The following is a 27,729-nucleotide window of genomic DNA, read 5'->3' on the forward strand; positions in this document are numbered from 1 at the left end:
CCCCTTACCTTCTGCCATGTTTGTAAGTTTCCTGAAGCTTCCCCAGCCATGTGAAGCTGTTAATCAATTAAACCTCATTTCTTTTTAAATTACCCAGTCTCAGGTAGTATCTTTATAACAGTGTGAAAATGGACTAATATACAATCTAAGTGCATAATATATTGAGATAGCAGATAAATTACATCAATACGATGGCCTATTAAGGTACTAGTAAATAAAAAACGATGAAGGTAATGATACTATGTGGGTAGATTTTTGTTATAAGTTCAAGTGAAAAAAATTATAGAGGAAATGAATATTGGTTGAGCCTCAGTTAATATCTAATTTAGTCCTTGTTATTATTACATAGGACCATCAAAATAGGACAGTTTGTGCTATAATTACAGTTATATAATGCTAATATAGTTGCAAAGAACAAGCAAGTGATAGGTTAAAGTGAAAACAGTTTACTTGAATTGGTGGAATTGTGGGTGTATCATTGAGGGATTACAGTTACATACTCATAAACAGAAACCCCATTTAGTGTGGCTTAACCAAATAAAGGCAAGTTTTTTTCATGTGAAAAGTCCTGAAGAAGGTGGTCTTAGGATGGTGTGGTGCTGTTGTCATCAGGGTCTTAAATACCTTCGTCCTTTCTGCTCTGCTGCCATTAATGTATGGCCTTACTCCTCGTTGTTTCTGTATGATTTGAAGATGAATGTTTTGCCACCAATTTCACCTGTGAATTCTAGGCAAGAAGAAGGGGAGGGCATAGAGCAAAAGGCTCCTGCCAGCTGATTCTCCTTCCTTTTAATGAGTTTTCCTGGAAGTCTCATCTAGGGACTTTTGGTTCCATATCACTGATCAGCACTGTGGCACACAGTTCCCATTAGCTGAAAGAAAGTCTAGAAAATGTATTTTTTTCAAAGCTGGGCATAGTGCCACCTAGAATAAAAGAGGGGTTATGTATTTATGGAAGAAGGGGAGAAAAAGACGTTAGAAAGTAACCAGCAAGGGTCTGCCAAGTTGTTTTCCCCTAATGCTGTGATACTTTCAATAATAAAAATTAGACTAGCTAAGGTAAGAAAGACATCTGGTAGTGGGTGAGATGTAATGATCCTAATTTCTTAACTGATATTTGGCTTGTCTAGATCCTTTCAGCCTTCTCCTTTTCACATGGCCTTACAACAGTTTTATCCTAGATACTAAGTCTGTAGAGGGCCAAGAAGGTGGAGTTTTGCTGCATTTTATAAGACTTACTTAAGTTCAGAGAAAAATGGGAGTATTGAAACTTAGGGCTAAAACAGATTTGGATACATGAGGAAAGGTTGTGAGGTTGTATGCTTAAGCCTTCTCTGAGCTTCAGTTCCTCCTGTGTAAAATATAATATGATCTGCTGTGCTTACTTTATAGGTTAGAGGGATTTTTGTTTTTGAGACAGGATCTTGCTCTGTTGCCCAGGCTGGAGAATAGTGGTGTGATCATAGCTCACTACAGCCTTGAACTCCTGGTCTCAAATGATCCTCCTGCTCCAGCCTCCCCAGTAGCTGTGATTACAGGTGTACCACCATGCCCAGCTAATTTTTTTTTTTTTTTAGAGATGGGGTCTCACCATGTTGTCCAGGTTGGTCTTGACCTCTTGGGCTCAAGTGATCTTCCTGCCTTGACCTCCCGAAGCACTGGGATTACAGCCATGAGCCACCACACCTGGCCAAGGGTTTTTATGAAAATGAAGTGGAAGAGGTAGTGCCTAGATTTTTGTATAGAGTAATACAATTTACAACATCGGACTGATTTCATTTAGCGGTCCAAAGCCACACACCTATTTCATGGTATCAGTTAGACTTGAGCTTAGGACTCCTGATTTCTCTTCCAGATAATACACGGCACTGTCTATTCACTATTGCATTAATCTGATAACCAAATACTCCGTAACTCAGCATTTTACGTTATCCAGTTCAGCAGTTCTTTTTTTATTCTGAGACAGGGTCTTGCTTTGTCACCTAGTATGAAGTGCAGTGGCACAAACATGACTCATTGCACTCTTGACCTTCCAGGATCAAGCAATCTTCCAGCCTCAGCCTCTCAAGTAGCTGGGACTACAGGCATGTGCCACCATGCACAGCTGATTTTTTTTTTGTAGAGACAGGGTTTCACCATGTTCAGTTCAGTAGTACTATACTAACTTAACTTGCTGGATGAAAATATGTTGGTGGTAGGTGGGAAGCAGTGAGGATCATATTAGATAATATAAGTAACTGAAAAGTTCCATATAAGTACGCAAAATATTCATGGGATACAAATGACGGGGAAATACTTAGGGCTAGAAAGAGGGATCATATTGACCTGTTCATGTTGATTTATACTTGATATCTATGATACATGTTGATTTCTGTGTCTTAGCTGGTCAAACAATACCAAGTTTTAAGGAATACATTTTATAACATTTTACATATTGATACAGAAACAAATTTGAAATTGCACAAATCAAACGCAAACTTTTAGTGTCTAGAATATCACTAATAAAAGTGTTTATAATAATTCTGTGATTTTCTAATGCTGGGTGGGGATTTGTTGAGTTGAATGTTAAAGCAATATATTTTTGCTTTGCATATTTATTGATGTAAATATTTTAAAAACTTAAAAATTGAGAATCATTTAACTACCTATAGATTTTACAATTTCAAAACCTTCCAAGGACCTTTAATAATGAGTATGCCCTAAAATTGTGTGTATTTTTTTCTTTCTCCCTCTGTAGTGAGTTACCTGAGAGAGAAGAAGGCGAAGGAGAAGAAACTCCAAATTTTAGCCACTGGGGTCCACCGAGAATGTATGTGGATGACATTATTGTGGCTTTCTCAATAGGAGCACAACCAGTTGCTCTTTTCTTTAACTTAACAGAACATTATTTAGTCCTACTCTAATGATTGAGAATTGCGATAATTCACCTGTAAGCTGGCCTACGTTTTGGTTTCATTTTGTCTTATCTAGAGATTTTTAGCTGAACAAAATGACTGTAACTAATATTAGGAACATCTTTGATACTCTTTCAGAGAAAGCAACTTAGATGTCCATCTAACAAGTATAGTTTATCACTATGTCATTAAGCAAGTCAGGTAAAGCTGCCTTGAATGCAGTAAAGCTTTCTTTTCTGGTAAACAACAGTAACAGTAGTTGAAGTTTCTAGTATATATCAGTTTATCTCTACCTTCCTCCCCTGGTGGAGAGTCCACGTTTGTGCTAACAGAATGTGTTGAAAACCCATCTTCCCTTGGATCTGGGGGAAGTTTTAAGTACTCACCAGTCGCTGTAGTTTTAAGTCCTCACCAGGGCTGCACTTTAAGATGATGAAAGTCTTCCTTTAGCTGCTCTCTGTATTCCGTGTCCATTATTAATGGATATCTCCACCCAAACTGGTTCTTTGCTTGTAATTGAAATCTGAATTTGTCTTAAAACATTTAAGAGTTGTTTTCAGAGTTACTTTTTTTAATGAGTTAATTATTGGCTGCAGTGCAAAACCTATAATATTTTGAGGGAGGCAGTTTTCAGTTCATACTTTCTTTTAAATAATGACACGGAGGTAGGAAGAAAACAAAACCTTCTGGCCTTAGGAGCAGGTAAAATCTGCCCTCTGATTAAAGAACCACAGAGTTAAACCTGCTGACTGGGAAAAGCAACTTGGACAACGAGCCACTCAGTGGCTAATTTATTTTGTTCTGAAAGTCTGTACTTTTTGCCGAAATGACATATGTGGCTTTCTTTTCTTTTCTTTTCTTTTTTTTTGAGACGGAGTCTGGCTCTGTCGCCCGGGCTGGAGTGCAGTGGCGCAATCTCGGCTCACTGCAAGCTCTGCCTCCCGGGTTCACGCCATTCTCCTGCCTCAGCCTCCGGAGTAGCTGGGACTACAGGCGCCCGCCACTACGCCCGGCTAATTTTTTGTATTTTTAGTAGAGACGGGGTTTCACCATGTTAGCCAGGATGGTCTCGATCTCCTGACCTCGTGATCTGCCCGCCTCGGCCTCCCAAAGTGCTGGGATTACAGGCGTGAGCCACCGCGCCAAGCCATATGTGGCTTTCTTGATTTTTGTCTTGCCCATTTGTTATTTCTTCAGTCCATTCTTTGCTAATGTTATGGATACAAATGAAAAGGACTAATGACAGAAAATATATTATAATAGGAGATGGGAATATTTGGGCTTAACTAAATCTTCACTGAATATTTAGAGTTATATTTATTGTTCTAGAAATCTATGCTTTTCAGAACTAAAACTTTCATTTGTTATGAATTATTGATAACATAATGTTGGAACTAGGTATAATTTGTATAACATTTGTAAAAATATATTTCAAAAATTTATATAAAATATGAGTCACAAGGATATGATGCAAATGGAATACTTACAGTCCAACAGATTAAACTTGTTGATGAGTGAGTTTTGTTTTTTTCCTTTATATAGTGTTGAGATTTTTAGAGAACCCAATGTGTCTCTTGGGATCAGTATTGTTGGTGGACAAACTGTTATAAAACGTCTAAAGAATGGAGAGGAGCTTAAAGGTATATTCATCAAACAAGTTTTAGAAGACAGTCCAGCAGGGAAGACGAACGCACTTAAAACTGGAGATAAAATACTTGAGGTAAATGATGTTAAAGTACTGTTTTTATTGGAAACATACGGTAAGACAGTGAAATAATCATTTAGCTAGAAGACCTTTCTTTATGTGTTGGGGACCGTGTGTGTACAGTTGGTGTGCTCTATTTATATGCCTTAGTTTGTACATTGTATGCACAATTTATGAGTTTCTCAAGTGAGTGTGGGCAGGGGTAAACAAATAAAATGATAAAAACTTCAGCTGATTGCAAAAAAACACTTTAACTAACAAAGGGCTCTATATAGAACAGGGCAGATGGTAGGCATTATGCTTCTCCCACATTCTTTAACAAGCTCTAAATTTTTTTCCTGAAGCCCTAAATTTTATAATTATGTGTCAGGAGGATATTATGCTTGTTTAGAGAAAGAAGTTGACCCTGGAAGGTTGAAGACTCTATTGGGTGAGGGGAGGATCCATGATTCGCACCGGATACGCTCTGTGGGCGCTAAGTTTTAAAGGCACATCAGGCCGAGCACGGTGGCTCATGCCTGTAATACCAGCACTTTGGGAGGCCGAAGCAGGCAGATCACTTGAGGTCAGGAGTTTGAGAGTAGCTTGGCCAATATGGTGAAACCCCATCTACTAAAAATGCAAAAATCAGCCGGGCGTAGTGGCACGTGCCTGTATTCCTAGCTACTCAGGAGGCTGAGACAGGAGAATCGCTGGAACCCTGGAGGTGGGGGTCTCAGTGAGCCAAGATCGGACTTCCCTCCAGCCTGGGTGACAGAACGACACTCTTGTCTCAAAGCAGGAAAAAAAAAAAAAGGCATATTAAACCACTGAGAATGCCCTGAGGTCTGAATGTGATACATTTCTTTGCATTGGGTTAATTGGGTGACACCATGGTGGGTATCTGTAATCCCATAATCTGCTTGTTCTTGATTCATTCTTTATGATGCTAACTGTTAATCATGGTGTTTCAGCTGTGATAGAATACAAAGAGCCCTGGATGTCATGGGTTGGAGTCGGAGTCTGTCCTTTTTATTTTCTATGTGTTTTTGGACAAGTCATTAGACCTACTTATTTTCCGTTTTCAGATAAAATGGAAATGAGAATTCAAAATCGATAGCATTATTGTGAGGATTAAATTAAGGAACTACATAAAAGCTTGTCTGTATATACAAATGTTGAGTTATATTTGTGCTGTGCAATATTTAAAACAATTTTCAAATATACTACTTATGGCAATGAAGAAAATGACCAACAGTCCCTTCCCTTATGGTGTTTACATGATAGTGGGAATGGGGGAATAGACAATAAAATAAGTATATGTAGAATGTCAGATTGCAATAAGTAGCTAGGGAACAAAATAAAGCAGGGGAGGAGGATAAGGAGCGTTGGGGTTGGGGATGGTGAAAGCAATAGTTGCAATTTTAATAACTTTGTTATGGAAGATGATATTGGGACAAATATAGGAAATGAGAGAGTGAGCCATATAGATATATGGAGGAAGAAAAACATGCAAAAGCTCCGAGGTAGGAGCTTGCCTGGATGTGTTCAAGGAGCAGCAGTGAGTCCAGCAATGATAGCATAGCATGAACAAGCCAGAAGGGGTAAGAGAAAAGGGCTGAGGAGTGATGGGAAGCCACATCACGTAGATCCTGAAAGCTCTGGAAGGTCTTCTGCTCTGAACGCAGCGGAGAGTCACTGGAGAATTATGAACAGGTAAGTATTGTTTCAAAGGAGTATTCTGGCTTCAGGGGCAGGGATGGAAGCAGGGGCCTCAGCCAGAAGGCTGTTGCAGTAACTTAGGAGAGAAAGAATGGCGGCCTGGACCAGGAGGAGAGCAGTCAGGTTGTGGTATATTTTGCAGGTGAATAATAGGACTTACTAACAGAATGGATGCAAAAGAATAAAGTGGCAAAGATAATTCAAAAGCTTTTCAGCTTGAGGAATCGAAGATGGAATTTCTGTTTGCTGAGATGGGCAAGACTGTGGGAGGAACAGATTTGGGGAGACATGTTTTAGACATGTTAGGCTAAGATGCCTATTTGACATCCATATAATAATAGTCAGTTAGATAAACAAATAAGGAGTCCCATATTCTTACTAATTTTTTTGGTCTTTTTCCTCAGTTTCAGTTAGAGTTTGTCCCCCACTGTGATTATGGATTTGTTTGCTATTCTTTGTAATTCTGTTGGTTTTGCTGTACATATTTAGTGGATTTGTTGTTGGTGATTTGCTTTTGACATTATGTGGTTTTCTTCTGTATTCCTATTAGTTACTTTTTGCCTTAAATTCTATTTTATTAATATTGGTAACCTTGTTTTATTTTAGTTATTAATTTACATGGTACTTTGCTTTTTTTTTTTTTTTGAGATGGAGTCTCTCTCTGTCACCCAGGCTGGAGTGCAGTGGCGCAATCTCAGCTCACTGCAACCTCCACCTCCCAGGTTCAAGCAATTCTCCTGCCTCAGCCTCCCAAGTAGCTAGGATTACAGGCACCCACCACCACGCCCGGCTAATTTTTGAATTTTTTGGTGGAGACAGGGTTTTGCCATGTTGGTCAGGCTGATCTCGAACTCCTAACCTCAGGTGATCCGCCCACCTCAGCCTCCCAAAGTGCTGGGATTATAGGCATGAGCCATTGCGCCCGGACAGTACTTTGCTTTTTTCATTCCTTCTTTTCCACCATTCTTTTCATTTAGTTTTAGTTGTATTTTTTGTAAGCAACATCCAACTAAATTTTGTTTTTTGAATCTAATCATCTAGAAAATAAGTGAGACGAATTCACTTTTTACTTTGATTGCTGATCTATTGTAACTTAATTTTTTAATGTTTCGTATTATATTTTTTCTTAATGTATTCTGAAATCATCATAAATTTATAGGAAATTACAAAGAAGTGTACAGGGAAGTCCCATGTACCTTTCACTCGGTCACCTCCAATTTTAATATCTTATACAACTATACTATAATAGCAACACCAAGAAATTGACATTGGCTCAATCCGTAGTTTATTCAGATTTCACCAGTTATTCATGCATTGATTTGTGTGTGTGTTTGTAGCTCTATACAGTTTTATCACATGTAAAACCTTGCATATGCACCACCACAATTGAGAAACTCAGCTGTGTCATCACCACCAAACTCCCTTGCATTACCCTTCTGTATTAGTCCATTCTCAACTGCTATGAAGAAATACCTGAGAGTGTATAATTTATAAAACAAAGAGGTTTAATTGACTCACAGTTCCACATTGCTGGGGAGGCTTCAGGAAACTTATAATCATGGTGGAAGGAGAAGCAGGCACCTTCTTCACTTTTGGTTGCCTCTTCCCTTTCTCTCCCATCCCTAACTTCTGACAACCAGTTTTCTGTTTCTTGATGTCTATAAATATGTTATTTCACAATTGTCTTATAAATGCAATTATGCATTATGTATTTTTTGAGATTGCCTTTTTTTACTTAGCATAATCTCCTTGAGGTTCATTCAATTTGTTGTGCACATTAATAGTTCATTCCCATGGCTGGGTGAGGTGGCTCACACCTGTAATCCCAGCACTTTGGGAGGCGGAGGCAGGAATGGATTGAGTCCAAGAGTTCAAGACTTGCTTGGGCAACATAGTGAGACCCTCTATCTACAAAGAAACTACCACTTTCTTCCTTTTTGTTGAGTCAGGTGTCTTTGGAAATTCAGGCTGCCAAAACAAAATACCATAAACATAGAAATTCCATTATAGTTCTGAAGGCTGGGAACTCCAAGATCAAGGCATTGGCAGATTTCAGTGTCTGGTGTGGACCTGTTTTCTGGGGTGTCAGAGATGGTGCCTTCTCTCTGTGTCCTCACATAGTGGAAGGGATGAGCTAGCTATCTTGGGTCTCTTTTATAAGGCCACTAATCCTATTCTTGAGGGCAGAGCCCTCATGACCTAATCACTTTGTAAAGGCCCTACCTACCTCCTAATACCTTCACCTTAGAAGTTAGGATTTCAAGATATGAATTGTGAAGGACACATAAATTCCAACCATAGCAGTGGCATTTCATAATATGGATGTACCAATTTGTTTAATCATTCACCCATTGAAAGACACTTGGGTAGTTTTTAATTATTGACTATTACAAATAAATCTGCTCTAAATATTTATGTACAAATTCCTGAGTGAAAATAAGTCTACATTTCTGTAGGATAAACACCCAAGGGTGCAATTACTGGGTTTTATGGTAATTGTACTTTTGGTTTTGAAAAGAGTTGTCAAACTCTTTCCAGAGTGGCTGGCTATACCGTTTTACATTCACACCAGCAATGTGTAAGTTTCTCCATATTCTTACCAACCTTTTCCCTTTACTCTCACACTCAAAACAGAATACTAGATGTGACCAGATGTGTGGGGGTTTACCCCCATACACTAAGCAGTTCTCCAGTCGACACCGACTGGATGTCTTATAATTCTGATACTATGTATCTGGAGATAGTATCAGATCCCCAGCGGACACCAACTGTCTTATAATTTAATTGAATTCCAATACTATGTACTTGGATCTAGCATTACATCACACAGTTAAGGGCTTGGTCCCACAAGATTGCCCCCAGGTCAGACGCCAATCTTAGTAGGTTGTCACCTATACTTCTGACCAACTGGCTACAAACCAGGGTTCCCACATCCCTCCCCTTGAATTTTGTTAATTTACTAGGGCAGCTCAGAGAAACACATTTACCAGTTATACAAAGGTTATAGATGGACAGCCAGATGAAGAGATGCATAGGGCAAAGTATGCAGAGGAGGGCACAGAGCATCCACACTCTGGGTATACCACCTGCTACCCTTCCAGCATGTCAACATGTTCAACAACCCAGAAGCTCATCAAATCTTGTTGTTCAAGGGTTTTTACAGAGCTTCATCTCCAGCCCCCACCCTCACTTCTTGGAGATTGTAGGGGGAATGCAGGGATTCTCTAATCCTTTGGTCTTTGTGGTGACTGGCCCCATCCCGAGGCTATCCAGGGGATCTACCCCAAGCCACCTCAGTAGCATAAACTCAGATGTGAAAGGGGCTATTAATGCATAACAAAAGACACTCCTATCACTCAGGAAATTCCAAGGGTACTCTGTGACAAGAACAAGAACATTTCATATTATACCACAGGCACACACATCTATGTCCTCAGCTTCTCATGTGCCCACTTTCTCCTCAGCCTGCTCAAGTTCAGTGGTTGGTGGCTCCAACCCCTTCCTTGCATGTGCTTCCTACTGTTGATCCTCTTTCCTTTCACTGAACTTGTCTGGGAGAATCACACCCTAGTTAAGTGCAGCTCTGCTTATTCCAGGTCTCTAGCATGGCTGGAGAAATAACCAGCCATGGTATCTGGTCTCATTAGAAGCTCATGAGCAGCCACTCAAGCGGTTCTTTAGTTTTGCCTTGCTGTCCTGTATTATTCTCCTAGCTGGTTCAGTCTCCAGTTTTTATAAGTGATATGATTTGGCTGTGTCCTTACCCAAATCTCATCTTTAATTGTAGTTCCCAAAATCCCCATATGTCATGGGAGGGACCCAGTGGGAGGTAATTGAATCATGGGGGTGGTTAGCCCCATTCTGCTGTTCTTGTGATAGTGAGTGAGTTCTCACAAGATCTGATGATTTTATAAGGAACTTTTCCCCCTTTTCTCGGCACTTCTCCTTCCTGCCACGTGTTTGCTTCCCCTTCCCCTATGATTGTAAGTTTCCTGAGGCCGCCCCAGCCATACAGAACCATGAGATAATTAAACCTCTTTCCTTTATAAATTACCTAGTCTTAGGCAGTTCTTTATAGCAGCGTGAGAACAAAGTAATACAACAGGTAACTGTGCCAAACCCCTTATGCCTCTTTCCTTAGTCTTGCTCTCAGTTTAAGGTCCTAGTTTCAGGTTTCGTTGAGAAAATAGAGGCAGTTAAAGGGAACTTCCCCTGCTTCCAGTGCTCACCAAATCTTTTTTCTAATTGCCTCTGTAACAGCAAAGGAACTACATTTGTGCTTCTATCCAAAGCCAGTCTCTCTAACTTGTGCAGTAGGAATCATTTCCTCTTGACCGTCCAAGGATATTGACCTTACAGTTGTCATGTCTCTCCTTTATCATCCATTTTTTTCTCTGCACTGTATCATTATTGCTGTAATATTTCCTTCTATCTTAAAAACATCCTACATCCCTTTCCACCCACATTCCTGTTTCCTCGGTCCTCTAATAGCAAAGCAGTCTTCACAAATTATCACTATCCGTTGAGACCACAGAACATCCCAGCATTTACCAAGGCTTTGTTACATTATAGGTTTGAAAAATTAGTTCTGTTAAACATGTTTTGGAAATACAGAGTGTGCTCTTGGAGATTTATGGGCATGTTAGCAAGTTATGTTCTCTGAAATTTTCTATAATAAGGAACTGTTTACACTTACTCAAATTTATTGAACACATAAATAGTTTTAGTAAAAGAACTTGTGGATGCTTTTTGGTACTTCTTTTTAAACATAATTTGAGAAATGTTCAACTACTCAATTGTGATAACAAGCAATTTACTTAAAATATTATGCCTCTGAGCTTAATGGAGAGATGATAAAAGTCCATAGATATTCCCAGCCTCCCTTATCCCACTCAGAATTATGTACTGTGCTCCTGGCAGAGGTGACAGACATCTTAAGGTTCTGTTACTGACTGAGCTACCTGTTTTGGATAATTATATTTAACCAGGGATGTTTTTATTAATGTATTTTTCTTATCTACTTTTCTGAAGGTGAAATGTTACTTTCCTTGAACATGTTCTTCTAAAATTGCCAAGCTTTTTATGGGCCAATCTTATTTTTTTCTGACCGTCTACTCATTAGACTCTGGTTGTTCTTATAACTAGATAATGCACATGAACTTTGAATTAACCTGTCCACAATATCTAGTGCTGTTCTAATTGAAATAACTTGCTTCTGTGTTTCAGGTGTCTGGAGTAGATTTGCAGAATGCCTCACACAGCGAAGCAGTTGAGGCCATTAAGAATGCAGGAAACCCTGTGGTGTTCATTGTTCAGAGTTTGTCATCCACTCCACGAGTAAGTTTTAGTTCATATTTTCAAAAAGTTTAACAACACTCTGTATACCTGCAGACCAAGCTTTGGCCTCTAAGTATTTTCCACATATTTTCATTGTAGTTCCCAAACTATATTTAAAGTATGAGCTTCATAAAAATTTAGTCATAAGGTTCCCTTTTTTCCCCTCCAGTTTTGATCTTCTGGTCAAATTGGAGTCATTACAGTGTGCATTGGTTTAAGTTACTGCTTCTGGAATCAAACAGACCTGTTTTCAATTTCTTGATTCCTTATTTACCAGCTTTGCTAACTTGCAGGTTACTTTTCTGAGCCAGTTACTTTGTTTATGAAATACTTTGAACAGAGGGTCAGGTGTAAAAACATTGTAGAGATACTATCACATGTTGTGTATATTTATTAAAGGATGTAAAAATAAAAACGTGTTGACATGTTGTACTGTTGTGTGTTCTAATGTTGGAGATTCCAAATGTAAAAACAGCAATATTTAATCATAAAATTTTTCTTTTTCTTCTTTTTTTGAGATGGAGTCTTGCTCTGTTGCCCAGTCTGGAGTGCAGTGGCACGATCTCAGCTCACTGCAATCTCTGCCTCCCAGGTTCAAGTGATTCCTGTGCCTCAGCCTCCCGAGTAGCTGGGATTACAAGCATGTGCCACCATGCTCCACTAATTTTTGTATTTTTAGTAGAGACGAGGTTTCACCTTGTTGGCTAGGCTGGTCTCAAACTCCTGACCTCAAGTGATCTGCGCACCTTGGCCTCCCAAAGTGCTGTTATTACAGGTGTGAGCCACTGCGCCTGACCTACAATTTTTCTTCTGTAATTAATTACTCCTTTGGTATGGAATTGGAACTCTGATATGAAATGTCAGTGGCAGGATGTGGATTTTATACTACAATGTGCAACAGAAACATCACCCTTAAAACTGGAAGCAATATTCAATATTCTTTTTCTTCATTTTATAATGGAAGACAGCTGTTCAAAACATAGACACTTCTTTTTTTGTTTGTTTTTGGGGATAGAGTCTCATTCTGTCACTTAGCCTAGAGTGCAGTGGCATGATCATAGCTCACTGCAGCCTTTATCTCCTGGGCTCAAGCAATCTTACTGCCTTAGCCTCCCAAGTAGCTGGGATTACAGGTGCATGCCACTACACCTGGTGAATTTTTTTTTGTTTTTTGATAGGGTCTCACTTTGTTCCCCAGGCTTACATATGCACTTCTAACTGCATATTTTAAAAAATTATTTGCTTTCCAATATAGTTTTGTAGTGCATTCCAATTTTTGTATGTCAAGGCAAAAAGAAAATAATACTTATATGGCAAACTGGGTGGGTATATGTTTGGCTATCCCAGTGGTGGGGGCATTGATGGAATATTTTGCATGCTTGTAATCTGCCTATGCACAGTGAGCTGCAGCCTGCATTGGCACCTCTGCTGTGTCACTGCATTTTGCAGTATGGTGCCTTCCATTCTTAGCACTATGTTTACATCATCAAGACTAATTGAGAGAGGTGAGCTGAATAAAGTTCTCTTGTTTTCATAAAATTTGAAATTCAATAAGAATTTTTAGAATTCAGTTTTTAATTCTTACAATATTGAGAATATAGTTGAGGCCATGGCTTTTATTTCTGGAAACCTAGTTCAACAGGAAAATTGGCCAGATTGTTCTTTGCCAAATTATACTTCCAAATCAATAATTTTGAATGAGAATGAGCCAATCAAATTATACATTTGTGTGGCCAGCTGTGAATGACCTGCCAAAAAGGCTAAGCTTTCAATCCAACCTTTGCTAGTGAGCTGAGGTGGAAACTTTTGTTTGGATGACACAAACAGTGCAATTTCTTTCAATTATTCAAACAAAGAAAATCTCTTCAGCACCATGCCATGCTCAAGTTACTTATTCCCTATGTAGTATAATAGACTGCCACATTGTACATTCAGTTCATCAGGCATTGAACCATCTGTGGTTCTAGCCAAGGGAGCATATCCCATTGATGATGTTAATTACCATGTCCATGACTTGTTCCATTTTCAACTTTGTTTATAGGGCAAAGTGACTCTTTTTTTTTTTTTTTTTTTTTTTTTTTTGGAGACAGGGTCTTATTCTGTCACCCAGGCTGAGTGCAGTGGCACAATCATGACTCACTGAAGCCCCGATCTCCTTGGCTCAAGCAATCTTCCCAGTTCAGCCTCCCAAGTGGCTGGGACCACAGGCATGGATCACCATGCCCAGCTAGTTTTTGATTTTTTTCCCGCAGACAGGGTCTCCCCTTATTCCTCAGGCAAGTCTTGAACTCCAGGCTCAAGTAATCCTCCTGCCTTGGCCTCCCAAAGTGTTGGGATTACAAGCATGAGCCACTGCACCTGGACAGGGCAAAGTGATTCTTATTGAGTGAGGCAAATGAAAGGAGAATCAAGTTTCATGTCTTTGTAAAATGGTGCTGTCTTTGGTTTACTTATTATTGCAAGTAGTACTGATTATCCAGAAATAGAAAATATAGGCAATGCTTAATCATTTTTATCTAGTTTACATTAAATTTTGAACTTTCCTTAAAACCCCCAAAATAAGTCATTTTCTAATGTTGTGCCCATCAAAGGTGATGTCTAAAAGTACCTTGGTCACATAAACATTCTCCTCAACACTATGAATTGAGCGGTTGTTTTTATCTGTGTGCATTATCAGCTGCCTTAGGAGCATCACCAGTACACTTTCTTGGGTTTTTTTTGTTGTTGTTTTTTGTTTGTTTGTTTGTTTTGGGACAGAGTCTCGCTCTTCGCCCAGGCTGGAATGCAGTGGTGTGATCTCAGCTCACTGCAACCTCCGCCACCCGGATTCAAGTAATTCTTCTGCCTCAGCCTCCTGAGTAGCTGGGATTACAGGTGCATGCCACCACGCTCAGCTAATTTTTGTATTTTTAGTAGAGATGAGGTTTCACCATGTTGGTCAGGCTGGTTTCGAACTCCTGACCTCGTGATCCGCCCACCTCGGCCTCCCAAAGTGAGCCACCGCACCTAGCCACCAATACACCTTTTAAATCTTCTTACCCTGACTTTCTCAAGTGTATTTTCAGCCTTCTGGAAAAATGTGTGTATCTACTTGGATGTACTTGGCAAATACTTATTTGAGAGTAAGGCCCATAGAAAGTTTTTCTGTAAGGTAATTTTTTCCACTTAATAACATAACTGCACTTCACAGAAATTCCATCATCTATATATTTTTATATATATATATATATATATATCATATATATGACAAGTCAGATAGTTTCTGACTTGTCAGGGAGGCAAAGTGTTTTGTTTAAGATTCTTCAGGACAAGGAACACATGCCTGTAAACCCCACCAGTCTTTGAAATCTGACTTAGGTTGTTATATGTATTAAACAGAGATAGAAATATTAGGTACTAGCACAGTGCCTCTTCACATAGCACTGTATATATGTTAATGTATCATTACTGCTGTTTTTTTACATAAATGACACATTTCTGAGACTTTCTCATTTATTCTAAACTTTATTTTCATTCTATATTAATATATATATATTTTTATATTAAAAAATTGGATATCTTCAGCTCATTATGTTTATCATCACGTGTTGCTTTCTTTCTTCCTGTATTCCAGTTGTGCTTACCAATACCATTGTTCTATAAGGGTACCTACTTTTTTTGACACATGAACATTTTGCATATTAATCACCTATAAATATATTTTTACTTTCACGAGAAATACAGTCTTCTGTTTTCCTGAAAGGTGGAGTCTCATTGAGCATTTTGTCTTCTAAATTTTGCTAAAGATATATGTACAGAAGAACATTTCTCTGCTATTTGAAAAACAGTGGGCTGGGCGCAGTGGCTCACGCCTGTAATCCCAGCACTTTCGGAGGCTGAGGTGAGAGGATCACTTGAGGTCTGGAGTTGGAGACCAGCCTGGCCAACATGGTGAAACCCTGTCTCTATTAAAAATAGAAAAAGTAGCTGAGTGCGGTGGTTTACACTTGTAACCTCAGCTACTTGGGAATGAGGCACAAGAATTGCTTGAACCTGGGAGACACAGGTTGCAGTGAGCCAAGACTGCACTGCAGTGGCCACTGCACTCCAGCCTGGGTGACAGAGTGAGACTCTGTCTCAACGAATGAACAAACCAATGAAAGAAAGAAAGATAAGAAAGAGAGAGAGAGGGAGGGAAGGAAGGGAGGGAGGGAGGGGAGGGGAGGGGAGGGAAGAGGGGAGGGGAAGGTAGAGAGGAGGGGAGGGGAGGGAAGGCAGCGTAAACATTGTGAGTGGCAGCTGACATTCTGTCTCATCCCAAAGCTTCTATTTAGCATCAGCTAGTTTTTCTATGGGAGAAAGTAGTAGTGTGGGCAGATAGTTTCTGACTTGTCAGGGAGGCAAAGTGTTTTGTTTAAGATTCTTCAGGACAAGGAACACATGCCTGTAAACCCCACCAGTCTTTGAAATCTGTCTTAGGTTGTTATATGTATTAAACAGAGATAGAAATATTAGGTTACTAGTAGCACAGTGCCTCTTCACATAGCACTGTATATATGTTAGTGTATCGTTACTGTTGTTTTTTACGTAAATGACACGTTTCTGAGACTTTCTCATTCTAAACTTTATTTACATTCTATATTAAAAATGAAAATTTAATCTTAAATTGCATTTAGGGGAAAATGGGCTTTTTGTTTTGTTTTTAATTATCTCCAGGCAGGCAGTCTTTTAATTTCCTGAGCAAGGAGTTTTTTTTTGTCTTTTTCTTTTTAATTTATTTATGTATTTTTTGAATCAGGATCTTGCCCTGTCACCCAGGCTGGTGTTCAGTGGTGCAATTGTGGCTCACTGTAGCCTCGACCTCAGCCCCACAAGTATCTGGGATTACAGGCGCACGCCAACACACCCAGCTAATTTGTAAATTTTTGTAGAGATGGAGTCTCCCTTTGTTGTCCAGGCTGGTCTCAAACTCCTGGACTCCAGCGATCCTCCTGCCTTAGCCTCTCAAAGTGCTGGGATTGCAGATATGAGCCACTATACTTGGTCTATTTTTTTCTTTTAATCTTCATGTCTCTCACCAGATTTTATGCCAAGATTATCTGTGCTAGCTCTTTGAGGAGCTTCTTTTTATAAAATTAAACTGGTTCGTTCATTTATAAACATTTATTATGTACAGCTATGTATTAGGCCATTTCTGAGCACCAGAGAAATAGTGAAAAATAACACTGAGTTCTACTCTCATTAAGCTTATTCAGTGGTGGGAATAGATTTGTTAATTCCTCCTTATGCTAATAGTGATAGTGGAATATTGAGTACACACAGTGTGGGAGATAACATGCTTGAACTGGGGGTACAATGATGAATAAGGTAAATCTGTCAAACAGATGTGTTATCCTATGTTCTTGGATAATTAATTAGATCACCCCTAAAACTCTATCTTGCAAAATGTGATGTTTGGACTACAGTCAGTATGTGAACTTGTTTTTAGTCTTTTTCGTCTTCAGCTTCTGGATCTACGTACAGAAACCTGCATTTTTATGCCCTGATGGCATATATATAACTTTATAATATTTTAGAGTTATGTATCTTCTCAGGCTTTCCAAGTTTTATTGTTTGCTTTGAATTGTACTTCTCATACTTTTACTCTTTAGATGAAGTTACAAAGTTAAGATTTTAGCTGTTTAAACAAATACATTAAGGAATGTAATGATAGGCCAGGCTCAGTGGCTCACGCCTGTAATCCCAGCACTTTGGGAGGCTGAGGCGGGCGGATCATCTGAGGTCAGGTATTTGAGAGCAGCTTGGCCAACATGGTGAAATTCCATCTCTACTAAAAATACAAAAATTAGCTGGGTGTGGTGGCAGGCGCCTATTACCCCAGCTACTCAGGAGGCTGAGGCTGGAGAAGCGCTTGAACCCAGGAGGCGGAGGTTACAGTGAGCAGAGATTGTGCCATTGCACTCCAGCCTGGGTGACAAGAGCGAATCTCCATCTCAGAAAAAGAAAAAAACAGAAATGTAATGATTGAAAAAAAATTCTCCATTGTGGAATGTCAAGAGAAAAAAAAGGAATGATTATGTCGTTTAAACGTTTTCTTCCCCCCACCCCTTTTTTTGTCACCATAGGTCATTCCTAACGTACATAACAAGGCCAACAAAATCACCGGTAACCAGAACCAGGACACCCAAGAAAAGAAAGAAAAGGTAACTTGAACCTCTCAAGGATTTAAAAAATGTTTTTGTTTTGTTTTTGTTTTTGTTTTCCATATCTGGGCTATAATAGAAGTGGCTTTTTGATGAGTGTCAGTGTTGTAGGAGCACTATATTTATAATTTTTTTCCCTGCAAATATGACTGGTTCTTACCAGGATGGAGGACAGAAACCTGGTGCAGCATAGATGCAAAAATACTATAAACGGCCAGTCAGCCATCAACGTCTATAGATTTCTTTCCTGTTCAGACAGGCTGGTTGTTTGTCCATTCCCAGAACATGCCTCTCACACTGAGACTTTGATCTTGCTGCTCTCGCCTGGAAGTCCATTTCCCACATTGCTCTCCCATAAGAATCCTTTTCATTCTTTAAGGACCACATCAAAGGTCATCTCTCCTGAGAAAACTATCCTTCCTGTCAATCAGAATTAATCCTCCATTCCTGTTTGCCCACCTCTATTAAAGTAGAATCTGTTGACCTAAAAATTATTTTAAGATGTGGTGTCAAGTAGGGATGAATTTTCATTTTTTCTCATCAAGAGAACTTGTTGTTCTCTTGGGGAATTACTGTCCCACTGTTTTAAAATAGACCTCCTTTACCCACTGATTTGCAGTCCAACTCTGCTGTATCTCAGGTTACAAGGGGGAGTCTGTTTCTAAGCTTTCTCTTTGTTCCATTTGATCAACTTGTCTATCCCAGTACAAATGCTGCACTGACGGAATTATTAAAGCCTAGTAATCAATCTTTTTTCCTGATAGAGCACTTTCTTTTATATGTTTCTTCTTCTTAGACATGTCTTAACTATTTATATCATTTTTATTTTCCATATCCATTTAGAATCAGATTATTAAATTCCACAAAAGTTTCTTTTGGGATTTTGGTTGGAATTTTGTTGAATCTATAGATTAACTTAGAAAGAAGTTATATCTTTTGGATGTTGAGACTTTTAAGCCATTAATATGATTTTTTAATTTGTTAAATTCTTTTATTTCTTTTAATTAATTTTTATAATTTTCTTTTCTTTCTTTTTTTTTTTTGTTTTTGGGAGACAGAGTCTTGCTCAGTCGCCAGGCCAGAGTGCAGTGGCGTGATCTTGGCTCACTTCAACCTCCACCTCCTGGGTTCAAGGGATTCTCCTGCCTCAGCCTCCCAAGTTGCTGGGATTACAGGCATGTGCCACCATGCCCAGCTAATTTCTGTATTTTTAGTAGAGACAAGGTTTCACCATGTTGGCCAGGATGGTCTCGATCTCTTGACATTGTGATCCACCTGCCTCGGCCTCCCAAAGTGCTTGGATTACAGGCATGAGCTGCTGCGCCTGGCCTATAATTTTCTTTAAAAAGATACTGAAATCTTGATTTATTCCTAGGTATTTTATTTTGCTATTTAATGATATCTCTTTAAACTGTGTTTTCTGTTTGTTTCTAGTATGTAGACATAAAATTGACTTTTATATATTTATTTGACATCTTGTAACATTATTCTTTTAAAACATACAATAATCTAGTGGAGAATACTGGGAAAACCATAATGGTGAAACAAAAAAATAAAAATATAAACCTACCACCTAAAGATAAACTTATTAAACATTTCATATAGAACCTTTTAGTGTCTTTGTGTGTCTGCTCCATATATATATGTGTGTATATATGATATTTTTAATAAGAATATGAATCTCAAATTCTTATTCTATGTAGATTTTTATTTTTGGATTTTCTATACATATAATAAATAATAAACTCTTTGGAATAAGGTAATTTTCTTTTTCCCTTTCCAATCTTTCTTTCTCTCATTTTATTGTATCTGCTAAGACCTCCAGTACTGTGTTTAGTAGAAGTAATGATAGCTAACATTCTTGTCATTTTTCTTCCTGATATTTAAGGAAAAGCTTTTAATATTTCACTGTTGAATATGATGTACTGTAGGTATTTGTAGATAATCTGTCATGTAACTGTCTGATGGGTTCATCTTACCCACTGCCCAAATGCAGTCGATTTATCAAGACAGGGGAATTGCAGTAGAGAAAGAGTTTAATGCATACAGAGTTGACTAAATGGGAGACCGGAATTGTATTATTACTTGAATCAGCCTCCCTGAAAATTTGGAGGCTAGAGTCTTCTTTCAAAGATAGTTTTGGGGGTAGGGAATGGGGAATGCTGATTAGTTTGGTTGGTGATGAAATCATAGGGAGTCCAAAACTGTCCTCTTGTGCTGAGTCAGTTCCTTGGGGGAGGTGAGGCAGAAGACCAGAGAAGTCAGTTTACCAGTCTGGGTACGTCGGCTGATCCATCAGAATACAGAGTCTGGAAAATACCTTAAACACTAATCTTAGTTTTTATAATAGTAACATTATCCATGGAAGCAACTGAGGAGGTTAGGAATCGTGTGGCTTCTGACTGCATGACTCCTAAACCATAATTTCTAATCTTGTGGCTAATTTGTTGGTTTTGCAAAGATGGTCTGGTCCCTAGGCAAGTAGGGGGTTTGTTTTGGAAAAGAGCTGTTACCATCTTTGTTCCAAAGTTTAACTATAAACTAAATTCCTCCTATGGTCAGCTTGGCCTATGCACAGGGATGAACAAGGCCAAGATATTGGAGGTTAAAGGCAAGATGGAGTTGGTTAGGTCAGGTCTCTTTCACTGCCATAGTTTTCTGACAGTTATAATTTTTGCAAAGGTGGCTTCAATCAGGTTAAGGAAATACTCTCTTTCATTCCTACTTTGCTAAGAATTTTTACCATGAATGGCACTGGCATTGAATTTAATCAGATATATTACTAATCTCCAGTGAAAGAAGTATGTGCATCTATAAATTTTTTTCTCCTTGAATCCTTTAATGTAGTAAATTATATTAATAGATTTCAGAATGTTGAACCAATCTTGAATTACTGGAATGCAATTTATTTGTTTTGTTTTGTTTTTCCCCATTGCTGATATTTATTTTAGGATTTTTCCATCCATGGTCATGAGTGAGATTTGCCTGGAAATTTTCATTTATATACTGTCCTATCTGGCTTTGGTTATGGTAAACTACTAAAATGATCGGTAGGAGCATGTGTTCTTTTAAGTTCTCTGAGAGTTTGTATAAAAAAAGAAATTATTGGCCAGGTGTGGTGGCTCATGCCTGCAATCCTAGCACTTTGGGAGGCCAACGTGGGCGAATCACAAGGTCAGGAGTTCAAGACCAGCCTGACCAACATGGCGAAACCCCGTCTCTACTAAAAATACAAAAATTAGCTGGGCCTGGTGGCGTGCACCTGTAATCTCAGCTACTTGGGAGGCTGAGGCAGGAGAATCACTTGAACCTGGGAGGTGGAGGTTGCAGTGAGCCAAGATGGCGCCACTGCACTCCAGCCTGGACGACAGAGCGAGACTCTGTCTCAAAAAAAAAAAAAAGAAAAGAAAGAAAGAAAACATTATCAATTCCTTCAATCTTTAGTCAAGCTACCCTATGAAGCCGTTGTGGGCCTGTGTTTTCTATGTGGGAAAAATTTTAAATACTGATTTAGTTCTTTAATAGTTATTGAATCATTTGGATTTTCTATTTCTCCTAGTCATTTTTGGTCATTGACTTTTGTAGGAATATTAATATCACCTAAGTTTTTTACATTTGTTGGCATAAAGTTGTTTGTGTATTCTTTTTTTTTTTTTTTTTTTGGAGACAGTCTTGCTGTGTCACCCAGGCTGGAGTGAAGTGGCATGGCATCAGCTCACTGCAACCTCCGCCTCCCAGATTCAAGTGATTCTCATGCCTCAGCCTCCCGAGTAGCTGGGATTACAGGCATGCGCCACCATGCCTGGCTAAATTTTTGTATATTTTTTAGTAGAGATGGGTCTTACCGTGTTGCCCAGGCTGGTCTTGAACTCTTGAGCTCAGGCAATCTGCCCACCTCCGCCTCTCAAAGTGCTAGGATTACAGGCCTGAGCCACCGTGCCCAGCCATTTCTCTTAACTTTAATCATCTCTGCTCCATTCATAGTAGTTCTTTTTCATTCTGAAATAGGTAATTATGGCCAGGCCTGGTGGCTCACTCCTGTAATCCCAGAACTTTAGGAGGCCTAAGTAGGAGGATTGCTTTAGCCCAGAAGTTCCAAGACCAGCCTGGGCAACCTGGGAAGACCCTGTCTCTACAAAATATAAAATATTAGCTGGGTGTGGTGGTGTGCACCTGTAGTCCCAGCTACTTGGGAGGCTGAGCTGGGAGGATCACTTGAGCCAGGGAAGGCCGCAGTGAGCCATGGTCACACCACTGCACTCCAGCCTAGGGGACAGGGCAAAACCCTGTCTCAAAAAAATTTTTAAAAAGTAAAAAATAAAATAAAACAAATAATAATGAAAAATAAATTGTAAAAAATAAAATTGGTAATTATTTGCTATATCTTTTTCTTGATTAATCTTGAAAGTAATTTTTCATTTAATTTTTTTTTCTGAAGAATTACCTTTTGAAGTGTGTTCGTCTTATCTGTTATATCTTTTTTCTGCTTAATTAATTTTGTTCTCATCTTTATATTGCCTTACTTCCTTGTTTGAATTCATTCCCCTTTTTCACCCCTTAATAATCTTTAGTTAAATGCAGAGATTATTTATTTTCTACTTTCTTTCTTGTCTAAAATAATCATTTAAGGTTATAAATTTTTTCTTTCTTTTTCTTTTTTTTTTGGAGACACAGCCCTTACTCTGTTGCCCAGGATGGAGTGCAGTGGGGCAATCATGGCTCACTGCAACCTCACTGCCAGTAGTCCTCCCATCTGAGCCTCCCAAGTAGCTGAGACCACTGACGCGCACCACCACGCCCAGCTAGTTTTTTGTATTTTTTTTTGAGATGAGGTTTTGCCATGTTGCGCAGGCTGATCTCAAACTTCTGGGCTAAAGCAATCTGCCTACCTCAGCCTCCCAAAATGCTGGGGTTACAGGTTTGAGCCACTGCCTCTAGCCTAAGTTTTGCTAAGTTCCTGTTTACTACATTCTAAAATTTTAAATTGAATTTCTGTTTTTTGGTACTAAGGGTTTTTTGTTTGTTTGTTTGTTTTTGTTTTTGTTTTAGGCTCCAATGTGATTTCTCTTTGACCCAAAATGTATTTAGAAATATATTTTGAAGTTTCCACATGAATATTTTTTAAAATCTTTTTGTTCTTATTTTCTAATTTAGCTATAATCAGAGATTGTTGTGTATGTAATATTAATTCTTTGACATTGGTTGAGACATGTTTTTAATGGCCTAGTACATAGTTATTATGAAATGTTATATTTGTGATTAAAAAGGATAGCTATTATTTAGTTATTGAGTACAGGTTTTTATAAAAAGTTGATAGATCAAACTAACTATTTGAGTTATTCCGATTTCTTATACTTACTGATTTTTTTTGTTAGCATAACCTAATGATTGCCCCTTTTGATACTAAAATTAGTCTGTTTTTTGTGTATTTTTAGTTTTTATTTCACATGTTTTCAAGTTAATTTATTAAGTACATCCAAGTTTAAAATTTTTATATCATCCTTGGGAAATTGGCCCTTTTATTAATATGTGGCAGTGTTTAGTAATACCTTAAACATCTGTTTCACCCACTGATACGGTTTGGCAGTCTCCCCACCCAAATCTCACCTTGAATTCTCAAGTGTTGTGGGAGGGACCTGGTGGGAGATAATTGAATCATGGGGGCGGGTCTTTCCTGTGCTACTCTCGTGATAGTGTGATCTGGTGGTTTTAAAACCAGGAGTTTCCCTGCACAAGCTCTCTCTCTTTGCCTGCCACCATCCACATAAGAGGTGACTTGCTCCTCCTTGCTTTCCGCCATGATTATGAGGCCTCTCCTGCCTCATGGAAATGTAAGTCCATTAAACTTCTTTTTCTTCCCAGTCTCAGGTATGTCTTTATTAGCAGCATGAAAACGGACTAATATACCCACTATCACTGAAACCATGTTGACTTTCTTTTTATATTTGCCTGGCATGTTGGGTTGGAATTCGTTAAGCCACACACATAAAATGAAGTCAGGTCTTTAACTTCAGTGAATCTAGACTTGTATGGAATTCTTTTTTTTTTTTTTTTTTTTTTTGAGACAGAGTCTCGCTCTGTTGCCCAGGCTGGAGTGCAGTGGAGTGATCTCTGCTCATGCAACCTCCACCTCCCATGTTCAAGTGATTCTCCTGCTGCAGCCTCCTGAGTAGCTGGGATTACAGGAATGCCCACCATGCCCAGCTAATTTTTATATTTTTGGTAGAGATGGGGTTTCACCATGTTGGCCAGGCTGGTCTTGAACTCCTGACCTCAGGTGATCCACCCGCCTCAGCCTCCCAAAGTGCTGGGATTACAGGCATGAACCACCGCACCTGGCCTCTTGTATGGAATTCTTAAGGTGCACCTTTTTCCTCTTTTTCTCTTCCACCTCAAGCTAAGACAAAGACCAGGAAATATATCTTCTGTGATCAATATTTTGGTTTGTTTATTTTTTTAAACCTTTATCTACTACAGATTTCACCCCATTAGGAAAAAAGACATAACTGAATTGAACCCATGGGACAACTTTAATTACAGACATATACATGGGGGCCAGTCAAGACACTGACTCCTTGAGGATTTAAGGAAAGAGTTTTTGCAAAAAGATGAGGAAAAGTGTCATTAGGTTGTTTACCAAATTAAAGGATTGTCTGTTTAACTGGATTGGCCACTGTCTTTCAGTTCAGATTTTAATCACAAAGATTATATTCAGATTAGCAGTAGCACATGTCATATGATCAGGCTGTTGTGGGTTTTTTTAGAGGGACACCTATTAATAAGCATAGGTAATATATAAGATTCCAGAAGATGGTGATTATTGCTTGCAGAGGTGTTTCTTTTTCCCTACAGATTGCAGGTAATTAGTTGCAGAATTCTTTGTCAATCTTTTAGAGGTACAAGCCTTTATTTTCAGGGATAGGAATTTGGGAGGGTGATATTTTTAGTCTAACTTCCCACCTTCCTTGGCCTCAAGGGGGCACTTGGGACTCATTAAATCCTTATCTCTCATTAAATAAAAATGTGTAGATACTGGATGATTATATTTGTAAAAAAGTCTAGAAAATACAATCTGTAGTGAGAGAAAACAGATCAGGGGTTCCTTGGGAATGAGGTGTCAGGGGAAGAGGTGGGAAGGAGGGATTTAAAAAAGACATGAACAGATTTTTAGGGATGATGGTTATGTTCACTATCTTGATTGTGGTGATGGATTCAAATTGTATCCTTTAAATGTGTGCAGTTTTGTACATGTCAATTATACTTCAATATATTGAATTAAAGCTGTTAAAGACAAAAAAAATTCCTGCTGTCTTGCAGCTTGCATTTCTAGTGGGGCAAGGCAAACAGGATAGAATCAGTAACTGCTACTTTATTTTTATTATTTTTATTTTTTTTCAAAATGGAGTCTCCCTCTGTCACCCAGGTTGGAGTGCAGTAGTGCAATCTCAGCTCACTGCAACCTCCACCCCTCAGGTTCAAGCAAATCTCCTGCCTCAGACTCCTAAATAGCTGGGACTACAGGTGCACACCACCACACCTGGCTAATTTTTTTATTTTTTTAGTAAAAATGGGGTTTCACCATGTTGGCCAGGCTGGTCTTGAACTCCTGACATCAGGCGATCTGCCCGCCTCAGCCTCCCAAAGGCTGGAATTATAGATGTGAGCCACCATGCCTGGCCAGTAACTGCTACTTTAAAGTAATTTGGGGACAAGACATGGAAACCCACAAAATGTGACATCTGGAAGGGACTGGAATTTAAGCTCCATGAGGGCAGGGACCTCATCTGTTGCATTATTACTCTACCTCTATCACCCAGAACACTGCCTGGCATCATATATATTTCTTGAATGAATAAAGAGTCCTAAAATCAAAAGAGATCTCTGGCTTTAGGTTTCCAAGGATTGGCAGATGCCCTCCAGGCAAGTGTCACCTTCCAGTGCTCCACTGGACCTCCTGATTTAGGATTTTTGTTTCTGACTTCAGTCACATGTCACAAAAGCACTGTTTAAACTTTAATCTGTCATTTTTGTGTGGTTAAGAAGGGTTCTTCTGAATATCTAATCTACCCTATTGCTGGAATTTTGTCAATTCATATGTTGATGCAAAGATGTGAACATTCATCAAGTGTTTATTGGTTACCTATAGTGAACCAGTTACTGTGCAACAATCTGGGGATATAACATCAAAAAGGAAACATATAAGGTAATACTCTGTGGGGACACAGACAATGAACACCACGTAGGTGAATGAACTTGTTACTACTCCAGCCACATCTGGGAACAAGATAATGTAATCAATTCAGGAAAATTCCACATAAGATCCCAGGAAAGAAAAAAGTAAATGTGTGATTCTTATCAACTTTGGACTGCTCCATTAAACCAATTGAATTTCAATACATGGCAAGGATATTTGCATTCAGTAAAAACCCCAGTAGGAGCCCAGTAATACCAAAAGTCAACTGAGTTATTTGTCACAAAGAAAAACACCTAGCCACTGCGTTAATGTGGCAACAGGAGAAATCATATCAGAATCTACATCTTCATTACAGATGGTCTTTTAGTGGTTGCAGAATGCTCTTTTTACTGTATTACTTTTCTCTGAAATTGCATCTTAGATGCCAAGCATTTTACTACATTCTGGAATGACAAGGCGCCTTCACCATAAGAGGCATTCAGATCATGGTGCCACATGTAGTGAAATAAAGAGAATGTAATTAGTATGAAAATAAAAATGTGCCCAGCATGCTTTGGGAGCGTACTCTTTTCAAAGTTAGGAGGCCAGGAGACTAATCTATCTCTTTAAAAATTATTATCACTAGAAGAAGTTTTTTTTGTTTATCTTATTTTCTCCTTAATATAAAAGCAAGACATGTTCTCTAGAATCATTGACAATACAAATCACCCGAAACTCATTTCTAACAGAGGTCTAGGTTTGGTTTGAGATCATTCACTTTAAAAAAAGAGAGTGACTAGCCGGGCGTGGTGGCTCATGCCTGTAATCCCAGCACTTTGGGAGGCTGAGGTGGGTGGATCACCTGAGGCCAGGAGTTTGAGACCAGCCTGAGCAACATGGTGAAACCCTGTCTCTACTAAAAATACAAAAAAAAATTAGCCGGCTGTGGTGGCACATGCCTATAATTCCAGCTACTTGGGAGGCTGAGGAAGGAGACTCGCATGAACCCAGGAGGCGGAGGTTGTAGTGAGCTGAGATCTCGCCATTGCACTCGAGCCTGGACGACAAGACTGAAACTCCATCTCAAAAAAAAAAAAAAAAAAGTGACTAAAAACAAACGAACAGAAAACTAATGAGCAGATCTTGAATGAGTCTCTAGTTTTGTTCTAGTTTGCCTCAGTTCACTGTTTTTTGACCTGTTTTGCATTACGTAGAGTGAAAGAATAGGCAATCAGGATTCATAGAAATACTGGCCAGGCACAATAGCTCATGCCTGTAATCCCAGCACTTTGGGAGGCCGAGGCAGGAAGATCATTTGACAGGAGTTCAAGACCAGCCTGACCAACATGGTGAAACCCCGTCTCTTCCAAAAATACAAAAATTAGCCAGGTGTGGTGGTACGAGCTTGTAATCCCAGCTACTTGGGAGGCTGAGGCAGGAGAATTGCTTGAACCCGGGAGACAGAGGTTACAGTGAGCTGAGATGGCACCACTGCACTCCAGCCTGGATGACAGAGTGAGACTCTGTCTCAAAAACAGAAAAGAAATACTAGTATTAACTGTGGGTTCCTAAAAACTCTTGGCTATTTTCTAAGGTTTTCTTCAGTGTTATTTCACATATTCTCTTTCTTCAAGAGATTATGAACTTTGATTATGTGAATTTGGATCCTTATATAAAAATGATTCTGAGTTTGTGGTTTTTGTGAAAAAGAGATTCTTAAAATTATTATTAAAAGGC

The 27,729-nt window shown here is 39.0% G+C and overlaps 1 protein-coding gene across 23 annotated transcripts in view; it reads left to right on the forward strand.

Moving 5' to 3' along the window:
• PATJ (PATJ crumbs cell polarity complex component) overlaps nucleotides 1-27,729 on the forward strand; it is a 421,436-nt gene that overhangs the window by 154,366 nt on the left and 239,341 nt on the right. For all 23 annotated transcript variants that reach the window (XR_007061928.1, XM_011540462.4, XM_011540467.4 and 20 more), the window contains 4 exons: nucleotides 2,738-2,809; nucleotides 4,437-4,614; nucleotides 11,527-11,637; nucleotides 17,742-17,819. Coding sequence is in view for 22 of the 23 variants with exons in the window: in XM_011540462.4 (XP_011538764.1) it covers nucleotides 2,738-2,809; nucleotides 4,437-4,614; nucleotides 11,527-11,637; nucleotides 17,742-17,819 (439 nt within the window). In the remaining variant the exon portion in view is untranslated. The remainder of the gene's footprint in view (nucleotides 1-2,737; nucleotides 2,810-4,436; nucleotides 4,615-11,526; nucleotides 11,638-17,741; nucleotides 17,820-27,729) is intronic.

Source organism: Homo sapiens, chromosome 1, assembly GCF_000001405.40.
Source record: "Homo sapiens chromosome 1, GRCh38.p14 Primary Assembly".
Taxonomy (NCBI): domain Eukaryota; kingdom Metazoa; phylum Chordata; class Mammalia; order Primates; family Hominidae; genus Homo; species Homo sapiens.